Here is an 18,627-nt window from a genome sequence, read left to right as displayed (position 1 = left end):
AACAGGGAGAGAGGGCTCATGGCAGCAGATCCTCTGCCCAATGAGGGAGGCAGGCAGGTGGCCTGGATTCAGAGATCTCTGCAGGCCAAGGGCTCAGAGGCAGTGAGGGGCGGAGGAGAGAGAATGCCCACGCAAACCAGGTCAGGGCCTCAAGAGGAAATGGCTTTGCGGGGCCAGAGAAAGGCCTGGCTGGAGCAGGGGAGTCAGGTGGGGGAGGGGATGACTGCTGGGACCACACTGTGGGTGCCCTGAAGGTCAGGGGCAGGGGTCCCATTGTACTCTGTAAGAGGCCCCAGAGCCTTGTGAGTGCCTGTGGGCCATCTAAGATGCCCACTCCAGGAGACTGTGGGGGCAGAAAGCATTATCTGACCTGGTGAGGAAGCATATTCTTAAGGCTCTCAGATGATGGCCAGTTAGCTCCATAGGGCTGTCTCCACGGGGGACCTGGCAGGGCTTATCAGTCTCAGCTCCTGCCCAGTGACTAATGTCTTTGGCCAAACCCGTGGTGAAGATGCATCGCTCTTCCTGTGCGGTAGGCTGGGCCTTCTCTGGGCCAAAGAGGCTGCTCTGGCCCTTGCAGAGACTCTTTGCAAGAGATTCTCCCGCAGAGCCCCAAGGCTCCCCACACTCTCTGGACCTGCAGAAGCCCTGATAGATGAATGGAATCTTTAGGGTTTCCTTTCTCCTGAGGGGCCCTCTGGATACCTGAGCAGGGCTCAGGGCAGAAGATGCCCACTGCAGTCATGAAGGGCAGGTCAGGGACCCTGAGAGCAACAGGCTCAACTCCTGCTCTTTAACCAGCAAGTCTTCCTGAGCACCCAGCTTTCTGAAAAGGCTCCTACACAAAGGTACCCACTAAGCAGCTGTGAATGACGGTAGTTACATTCTAGGAGGCCCTCTGAGCTCTCTCAGTGCTGCCCTGAATCTGGGAGGTAGGAAGCCCCCATCCAAACCATTTAAAGTTTAAAACATGACTGGCTTTGCTAAGCACTGTAACATTTTATATGATCAAATGAAAAAATTTCTTGTCCCTTTAAGAAACCAGATTTTAGGCCAGGTGCAGTGGCTCACATCTGTAATCCCAGCATTTTGGGAGGCCGAGGCGGGTGGATCAGTTGAGGTCAGGAGTTTGAGGCCAGCATGGGCAACATGATGAAAAAATACAAAAAATACAAAAATTAGGCTGGGCACGGTGGTGCAGGGTGGCTCACGCCTGTAACCCCAGCACTTTGGGAGGCTGCACTCCAGCCTGGGAGACAGAGTGAGACCCTGGCTCAACAAACAAACAAACAAACAAACAAACAAACAAACAAAAAACTAGCCAGGCATGGTGGTGCACACGTGTAGCCCCAGCTACTCAGGAGGTTGTACCACTGCATTCCAGCCTGAGTGACAGAGCCAGACCCTGTCTGAAAAAAAAAAACAAGCCAGAATAAAGCATAAATAGTTATATCTATAGATTGTACTTTTTTATTCCTGCAGGGCCTAACAAATCACAAATCATACCCTAAAGTAGATAATTAGGAAACAGCTCATATTTTCTTATAGGAATAATAATTGGTGTCTGAATTTTCTATCAAGTATCTTGCATCATATAAATTATAACCAATAATGTGTTACAAAAGCAAAATTATAGTCATCATAAATTTCTATAAATATTAAAATATTAAAATTATGCTCCAAATCCTATAAAGTAGCACCCATTTACAATATGCACTGATTAAAAAGGGATTAAAAAGGGATTCAGACTATTATCATAACACAAAAAGTACATTTCTACTTAAATAAATAGAATTAATTTAAATAATTAAAATACATTTGACAAAGTAAGCTAGATATAAAAACTTAAATTATTCAATGATACTTATTCCAGTCTATTTGAATTTGTGTGGGTTTGGGCGCTGTAATTTGGGTGGGTTGAAGCACTTATTATCTTTTTTGTTCTTTCAGTAAATTTGCTTGTAGCAAGCAGGGGTGTTTCAAAAGATTCTTGACCTTGGAACCAAGCCCACATTATTATAGTGGAGTCTTGGTAATTGTTTCTTTTATTGTATTGCTGATGATGAAAAGGAGGTTGATTCTTCTCAAAACAAGCTTTTTTTTTTTTTTTTAAATGAAGTCTTGCTCTTGTTGCCCACGCTGGAGTGCAGTTGTGCGATCTCAGCTCACTGCAACCTCCGCCTCCTGGGTTCAAGCGATTCTCCTGCCTCAGCCTCTGGAGTAGCTGGGATTACAGGCACGAGCCACCATGCCCAGCTAATTTTTGTATTTTTAGTAGAGACAGGATTTTACCATGTTGGCCAGGCTGAACTCCTGACCTCAGGTAATCTGCCTGACTCCGCCTCCCAAAGTGCTGGGATTACAGGTGCGAGCCACCATGCCCAGCCAAAACAAGCATTTTTTAAGAGTAAGAGCTGATCTAGCATTTCTCTCTTAATCTTTACCCTCCATATTTATTTACATAATGTAAATATGTAAATATTGTAAGAGCTGCTGCCGCCTGGCACCCACCAAGGCTATGGGACAGAATACAATGACCATCCCCATGCCGTGGTGCGTACTGCCCTCCACAGAGGCCACCTTCGCCCACGCCCCTATCGATGGCACTCCACTCGCATTGGCTAAGCCCTGCACCCCCCAACTCTGTTTAGGTTGTGAACATAACGGGATGGGAGTGGGAGTTTTCCAGTGGTTGGCAACCAGAACTGAAAGCTAAGGACATGGATGAGACAAGCACCTTATTATCTAAGACAGCCATCTTCGGTGGGGCCAGTCGCTTCCCTCCACTGCTCCTGCACCATCTTAGAAGAGGCGAATCCCCATCCCCCAGGTCTAGAAAGCGGGACCCTCGGAGGGAGACTGAGGGGTTGGCAGGATGGAGAGTCCTGGCATTCCCTCCCCTCCTCTTTCCTGAGTTGAGTGGGGCTTCCATACCCTCTCCTCACCAGTCCACCCTGAAGACAAGGAGGGCATACTTCAAGAGGTTCACTTGTGGAGAACAGAGCTGAGAGCAGTGGGCACCTTGCCTGGACTGTGGGCTATGGACCTGCCTCTGAGCCACAGGGAGCAGAAAGGCTGTGTGGGCTTCCTCTGGGCCTCAGATACTGTAGAAGGTGGCCAGGCATAAGTTGCCTTGTGCAGGTCCTTGTTCACAGAGGCATTGCCAGTGCTGCAAGCTGGGAGGGATGCATGCTTGGGTATGGAGAAGAATCCCCTCGCCTTTTGTCCTAGTCCTCCTACCCCAACCCAAGCTGAGCTGGGGATCAGGAGGGAAGGAGATGAAGTCTTAAACTGGATGGAACTTTAATACCCAAAAGTGAAGAGAAAGCATCGTCTTCTCCCCCAATTTTTTTTTTTTTTTTTTTGAGATGGAGTCTTGCTCTGTCGCCGGACAGGCTGGAGTGCAGTGGCATGATCCTAGCTCACTGCAACCTCTGCCTCCTGGGTTCAAGTGATTCTCCTGCCTCAGCCTCCCAAGTAGCTGGGATTACAGGCACACACCACCATGCCCGGCTAATTTTTTGTATTTTCAGTAGAGACAGGGTTTTACCACGTTGGCCAGGCTGGTCTTGAACTCCTGATCTCAAGTGATCCACCCACCTCGGCCTCCCAAAGGGCTGGGATTACAGGTGTGAACCACTGCACCTGGCCCCAAAAATGTTAATAGGAGAGAGAAAGAAGCTGCAAGCAGTTATTGGGATAAAACAGAAACCCTTCCATAATTGGGTCCCACTGAATTCAGACCGTTCATCAAACCATTTCCTTTAGATTGGGATTGCATGGGGAAAAAGCAGTGTCAGAAATAGAAGAGCTGGAGAAAGGAGATCTGGAGGAAGGGTGTGGGAAGGAAAGGGGGAGAAAGTGCAGAAGAAAAAGGGAAAGGGGAAGGAAAGGAGGAGAAACCCACAGAAGGAGGGATGTACAGACAAGGGGCACACGGGAGCCAACAAGAAGAGGGAGAGGTGAACAAAAGAAACAGAAAGGACCCCTACATTCTAGGATAAGTCACAGGCCACGTTCTGCAGCTCCCCACTGGGCTTTAGAGTAAGAGATCAATGTCCTTTGAAATTCCGAATAACCACGGTTCACAGTTCTATATGTGCTCTTCACTCTTATACTTCAGAAGATCTCACTCCATATCAAGCGGTCATAAAATCCCAATAGGATGGCAATTATCTGATGGGCTCAGAGAAGGTAAGAAAAGCACAATGATCCTATGGGCACAATGAAATCAAACCTAGCTCAGATTTGTTTCCTGGGCCCTCTATGACGTCTTCCTAAAGATGTACACATCCCTGCAATGTGCTGCTGAAACGCCTTACTTGGCCAGCAGGCTCATGAGGTAGGTTGAGGTGTTGGTGTCCAGTCTCAGGGGAGGCACCGTGACATAGGCAGCCGCGTGGGACCAGTCCTGGTGGTAGTAGTGTAAGCCTGTCAGCGTGGCATGTGCAGTGGTGGTCTCCGCCAGCACAACCTTCCCTGGAAGAAGAAAGGTCAGAACCATAACCAGGAAGCCACCGAACCTGAGCGATCGCTGGTGTGTGCCTCTCATTTTACAGGTGAAGGAGCTGAGGTCAGAGACAGGAAGGGACCTGCCCAAGCTCACAGGGCTTTTAAGAGCACAGCTGGGTTCAAGCCCAGAGAGCCTCCCTATTCTGCTGACTTAGGCAAGGAGGACAGAGGGACATGGGCACCGAGGCCCAGCAGGACCAAGCGGCACTTTGAGGAGTCTGGTTTGGCCAGATGACCAGAGCACTGGTGTGTGCAGGGTGCTGTTGGCAGATGGAGCTTGACGGTGGGTGAACAGGCATGCAGGGCCACGAATGCCACGCTAAAGAGCAGTCTAGACTGTTTTCTGGACAGGCAGTTGCTGTGAGCAGCTTCAAGAGAACGGTTGTGGTAGGACAGGGAGGGCCGTAGCAGGGCTGGAGGACAGGGAGACAGGAGGTGGGAGCAGTCACCAGGCTGGGACGACAGTCTAGGCGAGACCCTCCAAGGGGCTTCAGTGAGGGGAGAGGCAGGTGGCGGGATCTAGAGGGCGATAGAGTTGAAGGCCAGGATGCCCTTGCTTCTGATCGATTATAGTTGAAGGCTGAGATGCCCTTGCTTCTGATCTGTCTCCCCAGGCTTGTGACTGTGACTTTGTTTCTCCTGCTGCCAGGCCCTCACCAGCACCTGGGGCGGGGCTGGACTCCAAGCATCTGCAAGCCTTTAGGTACTGCCAGGCGATCCGCAACAGAAGCCATACAAGTGCCCCTCGGACTCATACACAGGGTTCCAGGAGGCTAAAAGGAAGCTGGGCCCACACACTGTTCTTTCTTTAGGGACTTCCCAAACAGCCCCTGAAATGCCCACTGAAACTGGTCCAGCATTTTATGTTAGTTGCCAAGGCAACTGCTAGTAAAATCTATGAGGCCAAAAAGACACTAATTAATGAGTGGGTTTAAAACTTGGAAAATGTTACCAGACCCAGGAGAAGTGACAGACACTTCCGTAAAGCTGTTATGCATACAAATTTGCAGAAGAAAAAGCTCATGTTCTAGCAGACTAAAGCCAGCATAGCACAGGGCAGCTCTGAGGAAGACGGTGGCAGATGAAAGGGAAGGGCTGGCTCAGGTCCTGGTTTCAGGAGCCGGGGCCAGGAGTGAGCACGGCTAATGGGCCCCATCCATCTCCAGTCCCTCCACTTGACCTGCTCTGTCCAGCCAAGTCTATGGACTCACCTTGCATCTTAGCAGCTGCGATAACGTCACCAGCCGAGATACTGGACACGTTGACCAGGTAGATTGGACAGTGAGTCTAAACACAAGAAACAGTGGGAAGTAGGGAGGGTTGACCCATAAACTTCACAAGCATCAGAATAACCCTGGCAAAGTCAGCCCTGGCACCAGCGCCTCCCCCTGCGTCACTCAACCCCACCCTCAAGGTGACAGTCCTTAAGCGGAGAATGCAGGGCTGGCAGTCAGGGCAAGGTTGCAGGAACTGCATGATACGGGGAGGCAGAGAACAGCCTCCAGCACCAGAGCCCACCGGGAAGCCCAGCCTGTGAAGTTCAAGACCGTCAAGTCTGAACCTCGCATTTTCTCCCATCTGACAACCATGACTGTAATTTAAAAGGGGGGAACTCTTTTTCCTATTTTAATTTCCTGTTCATAAACGTGATGACCTAGAGTTAGTCGTGTATTCTGTATCTAAAATTACGATGCCTGCTGTCTGAAGGCTGCTTATCAGTAGACAGAATGCACCCTGGAGATGAACAAAATACAAGGGGGTTAGGGTTCAGAGTCTAGGCAAGAGAAGGCTGACCTTGCGAACGGACACCTGGACTGTAATACTGGTTAGCTTTTTCTCTACTAAGCTGTGCAACCACGGTCCATGGCTTAACTCCTCTGAGCATATGCTTGAGCTAAAAGGCAAGGAACTGACTTTTTGTTGTTTGGGTCTTTCCTTATTCTGGGTTAAGTTCCACCAGGAAGTAATTGATAAATAACTATTGTCATGACAGTGAAACAATGTCCTTGTCCAGCGGCCAGAGCTCTAAAGTGCAATTGGGAAATTCTGTTTCCCCAGATGTTATTCTGTTCTCTTTGCTTATCACATTAGGAGGATGTAGAGTTTAGGAGCTGGACTGAGTTTACACGTGAGCAATGAACTGAGCTTCAGCAGGCTCGGCGGGGTGGAATGGAAAGCTGGTGGTGAGAAGGGTGAATGCAAGGATGGTGGGCATGACAGCGCTCAGTCAGCAAACAGCTCTGGGTTCCTGTGGGCAAGACATGGTGCTGGCACCCAGAGCAGAATGGGGCTGCATCGTAGAGGTTGGTTTTCTTTCTTTCTTTCTTTCTTTCTTTTCTTTCTTTCTTTCTTTCTTTCTTTCTTTCTTTCTTTCTTTCTTTCTTTCTTTCTTTCTTTCTTTCTTTCTCTTTCTTTCTTTCTCTTTCTTTTTTCTTTTCTTTCTTTCTCTTTCTTTTTTCTTTTCTTTCTTTCTTTCTTTCTTTCTTTCTTTCTTTCCTTTCTTTCTTTTCTTTTCTTTCTTTTTTTTTTTTTTTTTTTGACAGAGTCTCGCTCAGTCACCCAGGACAGATTGCAGTTGGCACGATCTTGGCTCACTGCAACCTCCGCCTCCTGGGTTCAAGCAATTCTCCTGCCTCAGCCTCCTGAGTAGCTGGGATTACAGGTGCACGCCACCACGCCCAGCTAATTTTTGTATTTTTAGTAGCAATGGGGTTTCACCATGTTGGCCAGGCTGGTCTCAAACTCTTAACCTCAGGTGATCCACGCACCTCGGCCTCCCAAAGTGCTGGGATTACAGACATCAGCACCGTGCCTGGCCAAGGTTGGTTTCTAATCCCACAGTGGACATCGGGGGACTTACCCTGTTTGCAATGGTGATAACACGATGAGTGGCTTCAGCTTCCAGCTGTTAGAAACAAAGGACAGGAGGAAACCAAACTTCACCATCTCCTCCAAGGATACCCACACCATACTCTCCCCTTCATGGAGCAACTGCACCCATAGGGGTTGGCTCGGGGCAAAGCCCGGGCAGAGGCACTAACCTCCAACTACCTTGGCTCACAGTGAGGGAGAATTCTAGGTCTTACAATACCAGGCACGCCCTTGCTGGATGCTACTTGGGGCTTAATTAAAAGGCAAGGAAACAAAAGTAAATAAAAACCCAAGGTCATGTCTCTCCTTGTTTTCTGGTGTATTCTCTCCATAGCCACCTCAGAACTGCAGCAAAGGAGAAATAGTGGCTGATTTGACTCCGGAAATTAGCCTAGATTAGGGTTTCTGCGCATGGTACTATTGGCATTTGAGTTGTATAATTCATATATATATATATATATATATATATACACACACACACACACACACACACACACACACACATATATATATATATATATTTTTTTTTTTTTTTTAGATAGGGTCTCACTCTGTCTCCCAGGCTGGAGTGCAGTGGCATGATCATGGCCCACTGCAGCCTCCACCTCTAGGGCTCAAGCGATCCTCCCACCTCAGACTCCTGAGCAGCTGGGACTACAGGCATGCGCTACCATGCTTGGCTAATTTTTTTTTTTTTTCCCAGACGGAGTCTTGCTCTGTCGCCCAGGCTGGAGTGCAGTGGCGCAATCTTGGCTCACTGCAAGCTCCGCCTCCTGGGTTCACACCATTCTCCTGCCCCAGCCTCCCGCGTAGCTGGGACTACAGGCGCCCACCACCATGCCCGACTAATTTTTTGTATTTTTAGTAGAGACAGGATTTCACCATGTTAGCCAGGATGGTCTCGATCTCCTGACCTCGTGATCTGCCTGCCTTGGCCTCCCAAAGTGCTGGGATTACAGGTGTGAGCCACCATGCCCGGCCCATGCTTGGCTAATTTTTAAAAAGTTTTTGCAGAGATGGAGGGGGTCTCCCTTTATTGCCCAGGCTGGTCATAAACTCCTGGGCTCAAGCAATCCTCCTGCCGCAGCCTCCCAGTGCTGGGATTACAGGTGTGAGCCACTGCACCCAGCCGAGTTGCGTAATTCTTTATGGTGGGGGTGTCTGCGCATTGTGGGATGTTTAGCAGTATCACTGGCTTCTGCTCGCTAGATGCCTGTAGCATCCGCCCTGCCCCCCAGGTTGGGACAAGCAAAAATATCTCTAGATATTGTCAAATTTCCCCTGGGGAGCAACATCTCCCCTGGCATAGACCCAGGGCCCTCCCACCTTTAACCAATAGATAATGGCGGTGATAATTATTGGTATTACGACCACAGCCAAAGCCTTGCTCTTTCCCTTGTATTAAGTAACAAAGAAAGTCTAGTGTGTGTGTCCACCCCTTGCTCTCTCCTGTTCTCACAGGCATACCCTCTGTGTTTCAGTCGAATCTGGTGTGTGTTTCTCTACCAATTCAGAAGTGCCAAACAGGACCTATATTCAAGGGCTCTGAAACACAGGCACTGATCAGGGCAGTGAGGGGGCACTCCTCAGCGGACCCACTCGTGGGCCAACTTGGTTTCTGGGTAATGGCAGTGCCACCACATCCTGTGTCCTGCTCCTTGTCCCTCGAGGCCTCCCCCTCAATCCCTCATGGATAACCAACCACCCATCTGCATTTTTAGGCTTTGAAGAAATGAGAAGTTTCTCCCCCTCTTCTAAAACAGTAGAGAATGTGTAAACAGGGTAATAGGGCAGGAATGCGTTATTCGTCTAATGTGGTCCCTCTAGAGCAGAATTCTTTAGCAGGGGGACTGTAGGGGATTTGTGTCAATGCCATGCAAAACTGTGCACAGGGATAAAGCCAGAGGGCAGGCGGAAAACAGCTTTGAATGACCATCTCAGCAGGTAATGAGGGGGAGGAGCATAGACTTGTATGTGTCTCCTGTTTTTGGTGGAAAGGGTCCAAAGCGGCAGTCCCCAACCATTTTGGCACCAGGGACCGGTTTCGTGGAACACGATTTTTCCACAGACCAGGACAGGGATGGGGCAGTGGTGGTGGGAAATGGGGAGGGATGGTTTCAGGATGAAACTGTTCCACCTCAGGACTGGGCACGGTGGCTCACGCCTGTAATCCCAGCACTTTGGGAGGCTGAGGTGGGTGGATCACTTGAGGTCAGGAGTTCGAAACCAGCCTGACCAGCATGGTGAAACCCCGTCTCTACTAAACATACAAAATTAGCTGGGTGTGGCGGTGCATGCCTGTAATTCCAACTACTTGGGAGGCTGAGGCAGGAGAATGGCTTGAACCCGGGATGCAGAGGTTGCAGTGAGCCGAGATTGCGCCATTGCACTACAGCCTGGGCAACAAGAGCGAGACTCCATCTCAAAATAAATAAAATAAAATAAAGAAAGAAACTGTTCCACCTCAGATCATCAGGCATTAGTTAGATTCTCATAAGGAGCGTGCAACCTAGATCCCTCGCATGTGCAGTTCACAATAGGCTTCACACTTCTATGAGAATCTAAGGCCACCACTGATCAGACAGGAGGTGGAGCCCAGGGGGCTCTCAGCTGGCCCGCTGCTCACCTCCTGCTCTGCGGTCCTGTACCGGTTCATGACCTGGGGGTTGGTGACCCCTGGTCCAAAGTATTCCTCAGATGCTCAAAGGAATGTCATCCCCCAAAGGCAGAGTTTATAGTTTGAAATTTCTTCTAACACCTGAAGGCCTTTTCAGTCTGTCTTTTGTCTCTTGATTCAGTTTTGGGCACAGCAACCCCAGGTGTGCTGACATTGTCTCCCCTAGATCCTTGAAATCAGAATCAAATGGAAATTTCACCCGTGGAGAAAATGATGCTATACACACACACACACACGCACACACGTATGTGTGTGCGTGTGTGTGCGTATATATATGTATGTGTGTGTGTGTATATATATATATATATACTCTATCACCTTGGCTGGATTGCAGTGGCATCATCACGGCTCACTGCAGCCTCAACCTCCTGGGCTCAGGTGATCCTCCTGCCTCAGCCTCCCAAGTAGTTAGCTGGGACTACAGGCATGCACCACTATGCCCAGCTAATTTTTTTTGTATTTTTAGTAGAGACGGAGTTTCACCATGTTGCCCAGGCTGGTCTTAAATTCCTGGGTTCAAGCCATCCACCCACCTCAGCCTCCCAAATGTTGGGATTACAGACATGAGCCCTTGTGCCTGGCTAATTTGTATGTTTGATGTCTCCTCCATCCTGGAAGATTCTGTCAATCTACATGAGAGACGCTGACAAAGGCTACAGGAAGTGTTTCTCACCTCCTCTGGACGGCTGATCTCGATTCCTTCTGGGCCTGTGATCCCCAAATCCAGTGCCTCCTTAGCACCCTGGATAACAGCAAGAGAAAGAAAATGGAGAGAATCACAGAGACACCGTGTAAGAAAATACTGAACCCAAGGGACAGTGAAATATGCTAGACACCGCCTGTTTCAATAGGCTTGCTTCTTTTCTCACTTCTGCAGTGTTCGTCTTCTAAAGAAGGCAGAGCATGCACAGGCCGCCCATGCAGTGGGGCTCTCCTGATTCTCACTTCATAATGACTGAACATATCTTGTTCTCTTAAAAATACAGTTAAGTATTATAACTAGCAACAGGCCTGGGACACCAAAGACAAGCACTCTTTACTGATTTCAAACTCAGAATTCCCTCTCTGGAAATCGAGACTAAGCTCTAGCTTCCAGCAACTGCTAGGCTAGCCCTTACCCCAAGACCTAGGAGAATGCACCAGAGGCTTATCCTTCCTGGTGCCATGAATAGATCTCTTTAATGTCTCAGATCCTCTGAAGAGGCCAAATGGGAAGCGGATTCTTATTTATTCTGTATATCAAATCTCATTAAAAATATGTCTGAGAGGTGCTCCAAATTCTCTGCTATAATGGAATTTAAATCTCATATCATTAGAATTAAGACATCATCACCTACGACTTAGAAGCCTTTTTGAACCATAAAAAGAGATTTGTTTTTTACAGACAGTAGTAAAGTTTGGATTTTCTGACCAAGATCTGACAGCTGGGGTGTCCACACCTCACACTTTAACAACTGATTTTGTCTGAATCCTGTGGGATCAGTGACGGGTGGTCAGGAATCCCCTGAGAACTAACTGTCTCCACTGGTGTCCCTCCATCCAATATTCTTGGCTGCAGACTTGCCTCGGCCACAAGCTCCCCATTTTCAGCATGGACGCGGGCGATTGCCCCAATGTCCTTGCAAGCGTGCAACACTTGGTACAGCTCACTGTCTCGAAGCATGTACAGGTCCTTGTAGGTCATGAACATCTGGAACGAGTTGACACCCTTCTCCCTCACCAGTGTCTCCATTTCTGCTTTCACCTGGAGAACAAGTAGAAGGGCAATGCTGCGTGAGGGCAGACACCCAAGAGGCCGACTGGCAGGCACCGGCCCAGCATGGGGGAGATGTGGGGCCTGCCCCAGCTCAGTCTGTCGGTTGACCCCCCACACCTCTCTATCTCACTTTCCTCCCACCCCACAGGCTGCTGTGAGGCCACCTGAGTAGATGGATGCGGAAGTACTGTGAAAATTGTCAACACGACACAGTTTAGGAGCCACATTGTTACCTTATAGGCACGTTTCTCCTATCACTTAGGCCTGTCCCCTATGTCTGTCTCCAAACCAGCCTTAATGGTAAACATAGGAATAATGATTTTAATTTCTGTGGGCTGTTGCCTGGCATTACAAAGAAGGCATACTAATGCTAAAAATCCAGAGGTCCTGGGAAAACCAAATTTAGGAACAAAGCTAAACATGAACAAAGTTATGAGAGTTAGGATATTCCTAACATTATTTGTACTAGGAAAAACATGGAAGCAACATTGGCCTGATAACAGGAAAATAAGTTCAGGTTCATCCACTTGGTAGAATATTAAGTGGCCATTATATTGCTGGTTCATGAACTTCATGGCAAAATAGAAAATGCTCACACCTATGCAAAATAGCTACTCTGTGAAAGCATGGATGAAAAAAGATGGGAAAGAAAGAAGTTTAACAGCAGGGATGGTGCTGGGGGTTACTGGATTATGTACTTCCTTTCTTTTCTATTTTTCACATCTATAATTAGAAACATTTATTTGATTATTATAAAACAGAATTTTAAATTCCTGATGCATGAAAGTCACCATAAGCTCCAGGAAATTAGGGAGGGTTGGCCTGGCTTCTGTGCTGCTGGGAACCTGAGAAGACCCTCTATTCTAGGCCAGCTCCAGGGGAAGTAGAGAGTGGCTCAGAGGTAGAGGCCTCTCACCCAGGAGAGTGTCCAAAAAGGAGACCCCCATTTGAGATAAGGAATGGCTGACATTCAGCGTGATCTGCACCTCTGGCCCAGAACCGGGAGGAGGTCTTCTATAAGTGCCAGGTCAGAAATAATGAAGAAACCGGGTGAGCCCCCAGCTCAAGGCTAAGACCCGAGGGCAGAAATATAGTGAGGCTTTAGGTTATCATCTGAGAAGGGTGTTAGGCCCTTTATACCAGGGCCTGCAACTGAAGAACTTCATAAAACTTCTTTTTTCTTTTTATGATTAAGAACAGAGTTTATTCGAGCTCAAAGCTTGAGGATGTCCACCTGGGAGCACAGATTCAAGCTGCCCTGAATATACACTCTGATTAGCAGCAGTTACAAGTGGGTTTTTGACGGAAAATGAAGAGGCAGTTCCTGAGTTGGTAAAACTAATAATGCTTATTATTTTTATGATTCTGGGGCACCCACCAAAGTACTGGTACATGGGGCTTAATAAATAATTGATGAAAGAATGAATATCCAGACTGCTACCCTGGGCAAAAAAGCAGAAAAACCCCAGAAACAAAGCCAAATCGAAATGCCTGTAGATTAGGAAGAGCAAGGAAGTGGGAATCCGGGGAGAGGAGTCTGGACTCTGACCCTGGGGCCTGGGCAGGGGGAGGACAGGAAAGCCAGAGGCCAGGGGCACAGACACAAAGGAGGCACAGAGGCTGAACTGAGAAAGGCTCAGGGGGTGCCAGCCTCAGTCACAGACCAGGACAGCCTCGATGCTTCTCAGAGCAGAAGCTGGGCCCCCAGTAGGAAAAAAGCATACCACATTCCTTTCATTCCAGACAGTACTGAGGCAGGATGGGAGCCTCAGTTCGGAGACCTCAGCGCAGTGTGGTGGACTCTCAGTACACATAGGATATGGGATATGACCCTCTGCACCTGAGCCCTGCTCAGGCCTCTTCTCAGCAGCACTGCCCATGACCTGTCAGTGGTGCCCTACATTCACACGAGACGGTAAGAGCCTCATGGTCAGAGCAATGAAACTGCATCCCCAAGGCCTGGGCTCTGGCCTTGGCCTCTCTGTGCCTGCCGGAAAATGGCTCATTAAGTTAAGCAGCACAAGCCCATCCGCTCCCCTTATGGAATCCCAAGTGTGTTTTCTTTTGGCATTGTGGGGAGCTAGGATGGTAGTGGGAGGGGTGCCCCACACAAGCAGGAGGCACTGCACCCCAACCAGCCCCTCTGCCTACAAGACCACTTGTGCCTTCTTCTGGGATCCCACCAGCACTGTTACCTTGGGTGCCCACCAGGTGATCCCCACGTGGAGGGCGTAATCACAGCAGACCTTGGGGTCGGCCAGACCTCGGCACTTCTCATAAGCGTCCACAAGGGAGGTCTCCTTGTCGGGCAGGACGTGGCCGATGATCATGGTGGTGCCTCCGACGAGTGCTGCCTGGGAAGACGGGAAAAGGCAGTCTCGTCACAGCCCTGCCTGCCCCCGAGTCAATGATGTGGTGAGACATGGTCCTCATGGTCCATTCAAAGACAGGCCCTGCCTCACAAGAGGCTGTGAGGACCAAGGGCAGCGAGGTTTGGGAAACTGTAAAGAGCCATGTGGAGGTGCGAGAGCCAGCGCGACCTTCATCATGACCACGGGTCCCCAAACCTGCTTCTTCCTCCGCCAGGGTTTCAGCTTGGCGCGCTGGAAAAACCACATCGTGGGTCACCCGACCTAAGGCCTATCTTCCCAATGAGGAGATTCTCTCCCCAAACGATTTTTAGCCAATTGACTCTATAGATAACATGATCAAATGTCTGCATGTAATATATAACATAATATAGTGTTGTATCATATAATAACATAATATTGATGGCATAATCAAATGTCTGTTTATATCATTTACTTAGTTACACACGTATATTTGAACCACGATATAGAAAATGTTAATTTGGATATATTGTTTTGTTTTATGCTCTCAAATTTCATGAAGCAATTTTGTTCAAACATTTTGCACGCATCTTCAACCTCAGGGTCTTTGTCTTCAGTTTTTCTAAGCATAGGGGCTTCATTTTCATCTATCTTGTTTGAGACAGGCATTTTTTAGATGCATGTGTGATTTATCAGTGAAAACGGATCCTATTCACAACTCCGCAAGATACCACTTTAAAAAGAAATTGTTAAAAAGCCTCACTCGCAATCATAGAGTGAACCCCCAGGAAAAATGACTAAATCTGTATTAGAGATTCCCCCACTCAACTTTTTAAAAGTGAATTTCATCAGGGGACTTCTGTGAAGTTCCAAAACTAGCATCGATCAAAGGCTATTTCAGGCTAATGTGTTGTTCCCAAACAAAACTTAAAATAGAATTAAAATAAGTGAGAGTGGGTGCAGTGGCTCACACCTGTAATCCTAGTACTTTGGGAGGCTGAGGTGGGTGGATCACTTGAGGTCAAGAGTTCAAGATGAGCCTGGCCAACATGGTGAAGCCCCGTCTCTACAAAAATACAGAAATTAGCTGGGTGTGATGGTGGGTGCCTGTAATCACAACTACTTGGGAGGCTGAGGCAGGAGAATTGCTTGAACCTGGGAGGTGGAGGTCGCAGTGAGCCAAGAATGCGGCATTGCACTCCAGCCTGGGCAACAAGGGTGAAACTGTCTCAAAATAAATAAATTAATTAAATTAAATAATTGAGAGTCCCATAACATGAGAGTCTTTGTGAGGGCTCTAAGACAAAGTGACTCTTTTTCTGGTGAGAAATGGTTTGAGTCCTTACAGTGCTTCACGGCTCCACGTTCAAGTCCCTGCTCTGCTCCCTCATGGTTGGAATAACCTCTGCCAGGTTACTTAACTTCTCTGGATGCAAAGTCTTTACCTACACAATAGGGTGGCTTCCTTGTTGGGTAGTTGTGAAGGTTAAGTAAAACATTGCTTATGGAACAGATGTGGTAAAAGTGTTGTCCTAACATGTGTGTTTAGTTACTCAGAACTTAGGTTTTTGTTTTTGTTTGAGACTGGGTCTCACTCTGTTGCCCAGGCTGGAGTACAGTGGTGCAATCATAGCACACTGCAGCCTCAAACTCCTGGGCTCAAGTGATCCTCCCACCTTGGCCTCGCAAAGTGCTGGGACTGCAGGCATGAACCACTGCACCCAGCCAGAATTTAGGTGTTTATCTGTTTTCTGTAGGGGAGAAAAAGAGCTCCATGAAATTGTCTTAATGGTTTCATGCTTCTCTATTCAGTTAAATCCTTGATCACAAATGAAAAATATTGCTGGGGAATAAGGGACTGAAAAAAAATTAGCTCAGTGGCCCAACAGCAATTAAAATGAAAACTCTCACAACCTTGATGTTCCATGACGCAGGCTGGGCCAGCGAGAATGTTCCCAGTCGTCCTGGGGAACTCAGTGGTTTGACTGCTTGCACAGCTTAAAGCAACCAACAGAGGGTGGTAGTTCTGTGGCACCTGCAGGAGCTGTGATGGGGGCGGCAGAGGAACCGGGAGAAGGAGAGCAGTGCAGATTGTAGCTTTACTAGCAGGCTTCTATTTCCGATTTTGCTGGATCGTGCCAGGCTGATTCATCCTCACAGCAGGTGGTTGTACTCTATTTTGTCCTGAAATGCATCTCTTGCTTTTACATGTGCACGTGGGGGTGTATATTGAGCTTTACACACTAAATTGTTTCATTTTTCTGTGGCTCTAGATTGCTTTCCTTTGCACTCCCACAGTACCTCTGCAGGCTTGGATAGGAAAAGAGGAACCTGGAAACAGCACAGTGAGATAAAAGAGCCAGGACCAGTCCTCATACTGTGGGTCCCAGGGCAAGAGGAGAAAAGGAGGATCATGTGCTGATTCTCTAAACACTCAAAAGTTAGATCAAGCTAAAAAACCATTACACAGAATATACTCTATCCTCCTACTCTGTCAAATACATCTTCATAAAGGCCAAAAGGGCCTGGCCCTTAGAATCCTCAAGTTCCTTAAAATTCTGAGCTACACTTCAGGGATAGTTGGCCTCAGCCTCTGTGCCTGCCCCCAGCCCACACGCGCCTATCCTGAATTGATCCTGCAGCCTGCAGACCTAAGCTCTGTCCACCTTCTGCAAAAATGCTGTCCTTGAGCCTGGTATGCACACATTGGTGGTCTGTCCCCCAGGAGGAGAGATTCGGGGTTTTGTAGGCTCTGGAATGCTCAGGGCTGTTTCTCAGGGAATTCTAGGGACCCAGAGTGTAGTTTAGGAATGGGTGAGTGGGGTCTGGGTAGACACAATCCCCAGACCTATGGGGCAGGGGTACAAGTTGTTGGAGGGCCCGAAGAGGACCCTAAAGTCCAGAGCCCTGGGAAGAGGCCCCTTTTGCCTGGGTCTAAGGACAGGAACTGAAAATAGTTCAGGAAGGAGTTGGAAGCATAGGAGGTGGTCTTGACTTTCCCACGTGTTGGTTGTAATCTAGGAGCAGCCACGTGCCCCCTGACCTGCACCTTACTTCTCAGGGGTCCCCAGAGGGTCAGGTGGCAATGGATGTGAGAGCATCTATGAGCTGGGAGGGGCATGCACATAAGTATCTGGAATAATTATTACCGCTGTTACCCCAAGGCCTCGAAACAAGAGTTTCACTGGATCAGCAAACTCTCCCCCAGCTGCAGGCTCGCAAGCCCACACCACACACTGATGTTCAAGCACTTGTTTCCTCTTAGGCAAGACATACATAGAGTTGGCTTTTTGAATATGTACCATTCCAACCCACAGGATGAATGCTGACAAGCTCTGTTTTCACAGGAAAGTGGTATCACAGATGTGACAGACCTTTTTAGTGTCATCCCCCACAAAACAGCCTTGTAGAAATCGGCAGCAAGGCACAGCCCAATTGTGTTCCCGAGGCTTTCAAAAGGATGATGTTTAAGAACATGTGATTGCTGAATGCTCATGACTTTTTACACAAAAAATGGTGTTGGTTAAGTACGCTGCAGAAGATCTTTAATGGAAGCCAATAAAAATGATGTTCACTAGAGACGGGGTTTCACCATGTTGGTCAGGCTGGTCTCGAACTCCTGACCTCAGGTGATCCACCTCGACCTCCCAAAGTGCTGGGATTACAGGCGTGAGCCACCACGCCAGGCCGAGCTATTCTTTTAAGGTAAGCTTCCTGACAACATGAAATAATTGGGGTTTTTTTTGTTTAGTTACGTTAGGTTTTGCTATATCCCCGGGCCAAATAGCATGTGACACAGGACAGCCATAGTATAGTGTGTTGCTCGTGGTTGGTGTCCTTTCATGCTTCTGCCCTGTCAAAGGTCCCTATTTAAAATGTGTTATAATACAAACAATACAAGGAAGCACATGGTGTACAAAATACTTATGTATTTATGAATTCATGACCAAATTAAATGTGAAACTTTATATTTAAAAAAATGATGTTCACGAAGGCTGTCAAAACACGGAAAAAGTTTTATACTGTAATGAGTGAAAAAGACTTGATTCAAAATGCTTGGAACCATGTTTAAACACACATACTCCCCACACAAGAAATAAAAATGCAAGGAAATAGACCAAAATATTAACAATGGTTTGTTTGTTTGAGACACAGTCTTGCTCTGTGGCCCAGGCTGGAGTGCAGTGGTGCAATCTTGGCTCACTGCAACCTCCGCCTCCCGAGTTCAAGTGATTCTCCTGCCTCAGCCTCCTGAGTAGCTGAGATTACAGGCACCTGCCATAATGCCCGGTTAATTTTGTATTTTCAGTACAGATGGTGTTTCACCATGTTGGCCAGACTGGTCTTGACCTCTTGACCTCAAGTGATCTGCATGCCTCAGTCTCCCAAAATGCTGCGGTTATCGACGTGAGCCACCACGCCTGGCCAACAATGGTTATTTTTGAGTGATGAGATTCTGAGGAATTTATTTTTTCTACTTC

General features: G+C 48.0%; 1 protein-coding gene across 4 annotated transcripts in view, besides 1 other annotated feature; it reads right to left on the bottom strand.

The window, feature by feature from the left end:
• Positions 1-18,627, bottom strand: part of DPYSL5 (dihydropyrimidinase like 5) — a 102,357-nt gene that overhangs the window by 11,295 nt on the left and 72,435 nt on the right. For all 4 annotated transcript variants that reach the window (NM_001253724.2, NM_001253723.2, NM_020134.4 and 1 more), the window contains exons 3-8: positions 14,012-14,170; positions 11,625-11,804; positions 10,734-10,802; positions 7,373-7,417; positions 5,724-5,799; positions 4,323-4,479 (exon numbers count right to left, since the gene is read on the bottom strand). In NM_001253724.2, coding sequence (NP_001240653.1) covers positions 4,323-4,479; positions 5,724-5,799; positions 7,373-7,417; positions 10,734-10,802; positions 11,625-11,804; positions 14,012-14,170 — 686 coding nt within the window. The remainder of the gene's footprint in view (positions 1-4,322; positions 4,480-5,723; positions 5,800-7,372; positions 7,418-10,733; positions 10,803-11,624; positions 11,805-14,011; positions 14,171-18,627) is intronic.
• Positions 4,205-4,704: an enhancer, noted in NCBI's record as "H3K4me1 hESC enhancer chr2:27157221-27157720 (GRCh37/hg19 assembly coordinates)". NCBI's record gives its function as "activates a minimal SCP1, AML or CMV promoter by ChIP-STARR-seq in primed H9 embryonic stem cells {active_cell/tissue: H9 hESC(primed)}" and the evidence as "EXISTENCE:reporter gene assay evidence [ECO:0000049][PMID:30033119]".

This window comes from Homo sapiens, chromosome 2 (genome assembly GCF_000001405.40).
Source record: "Homo sapiens chromosome 2, GRCh38.p14 Primary Assembly".
NCBI lineage: Eukaryota > Metazoa > Chordata > Mammalia > Primates > Hominidae > Homo > Homo sapiens.
Note: the sequence above shows the minus strand (reverse complement) of the source record. Positions and strands in the feature narration are given on the sequence as shown.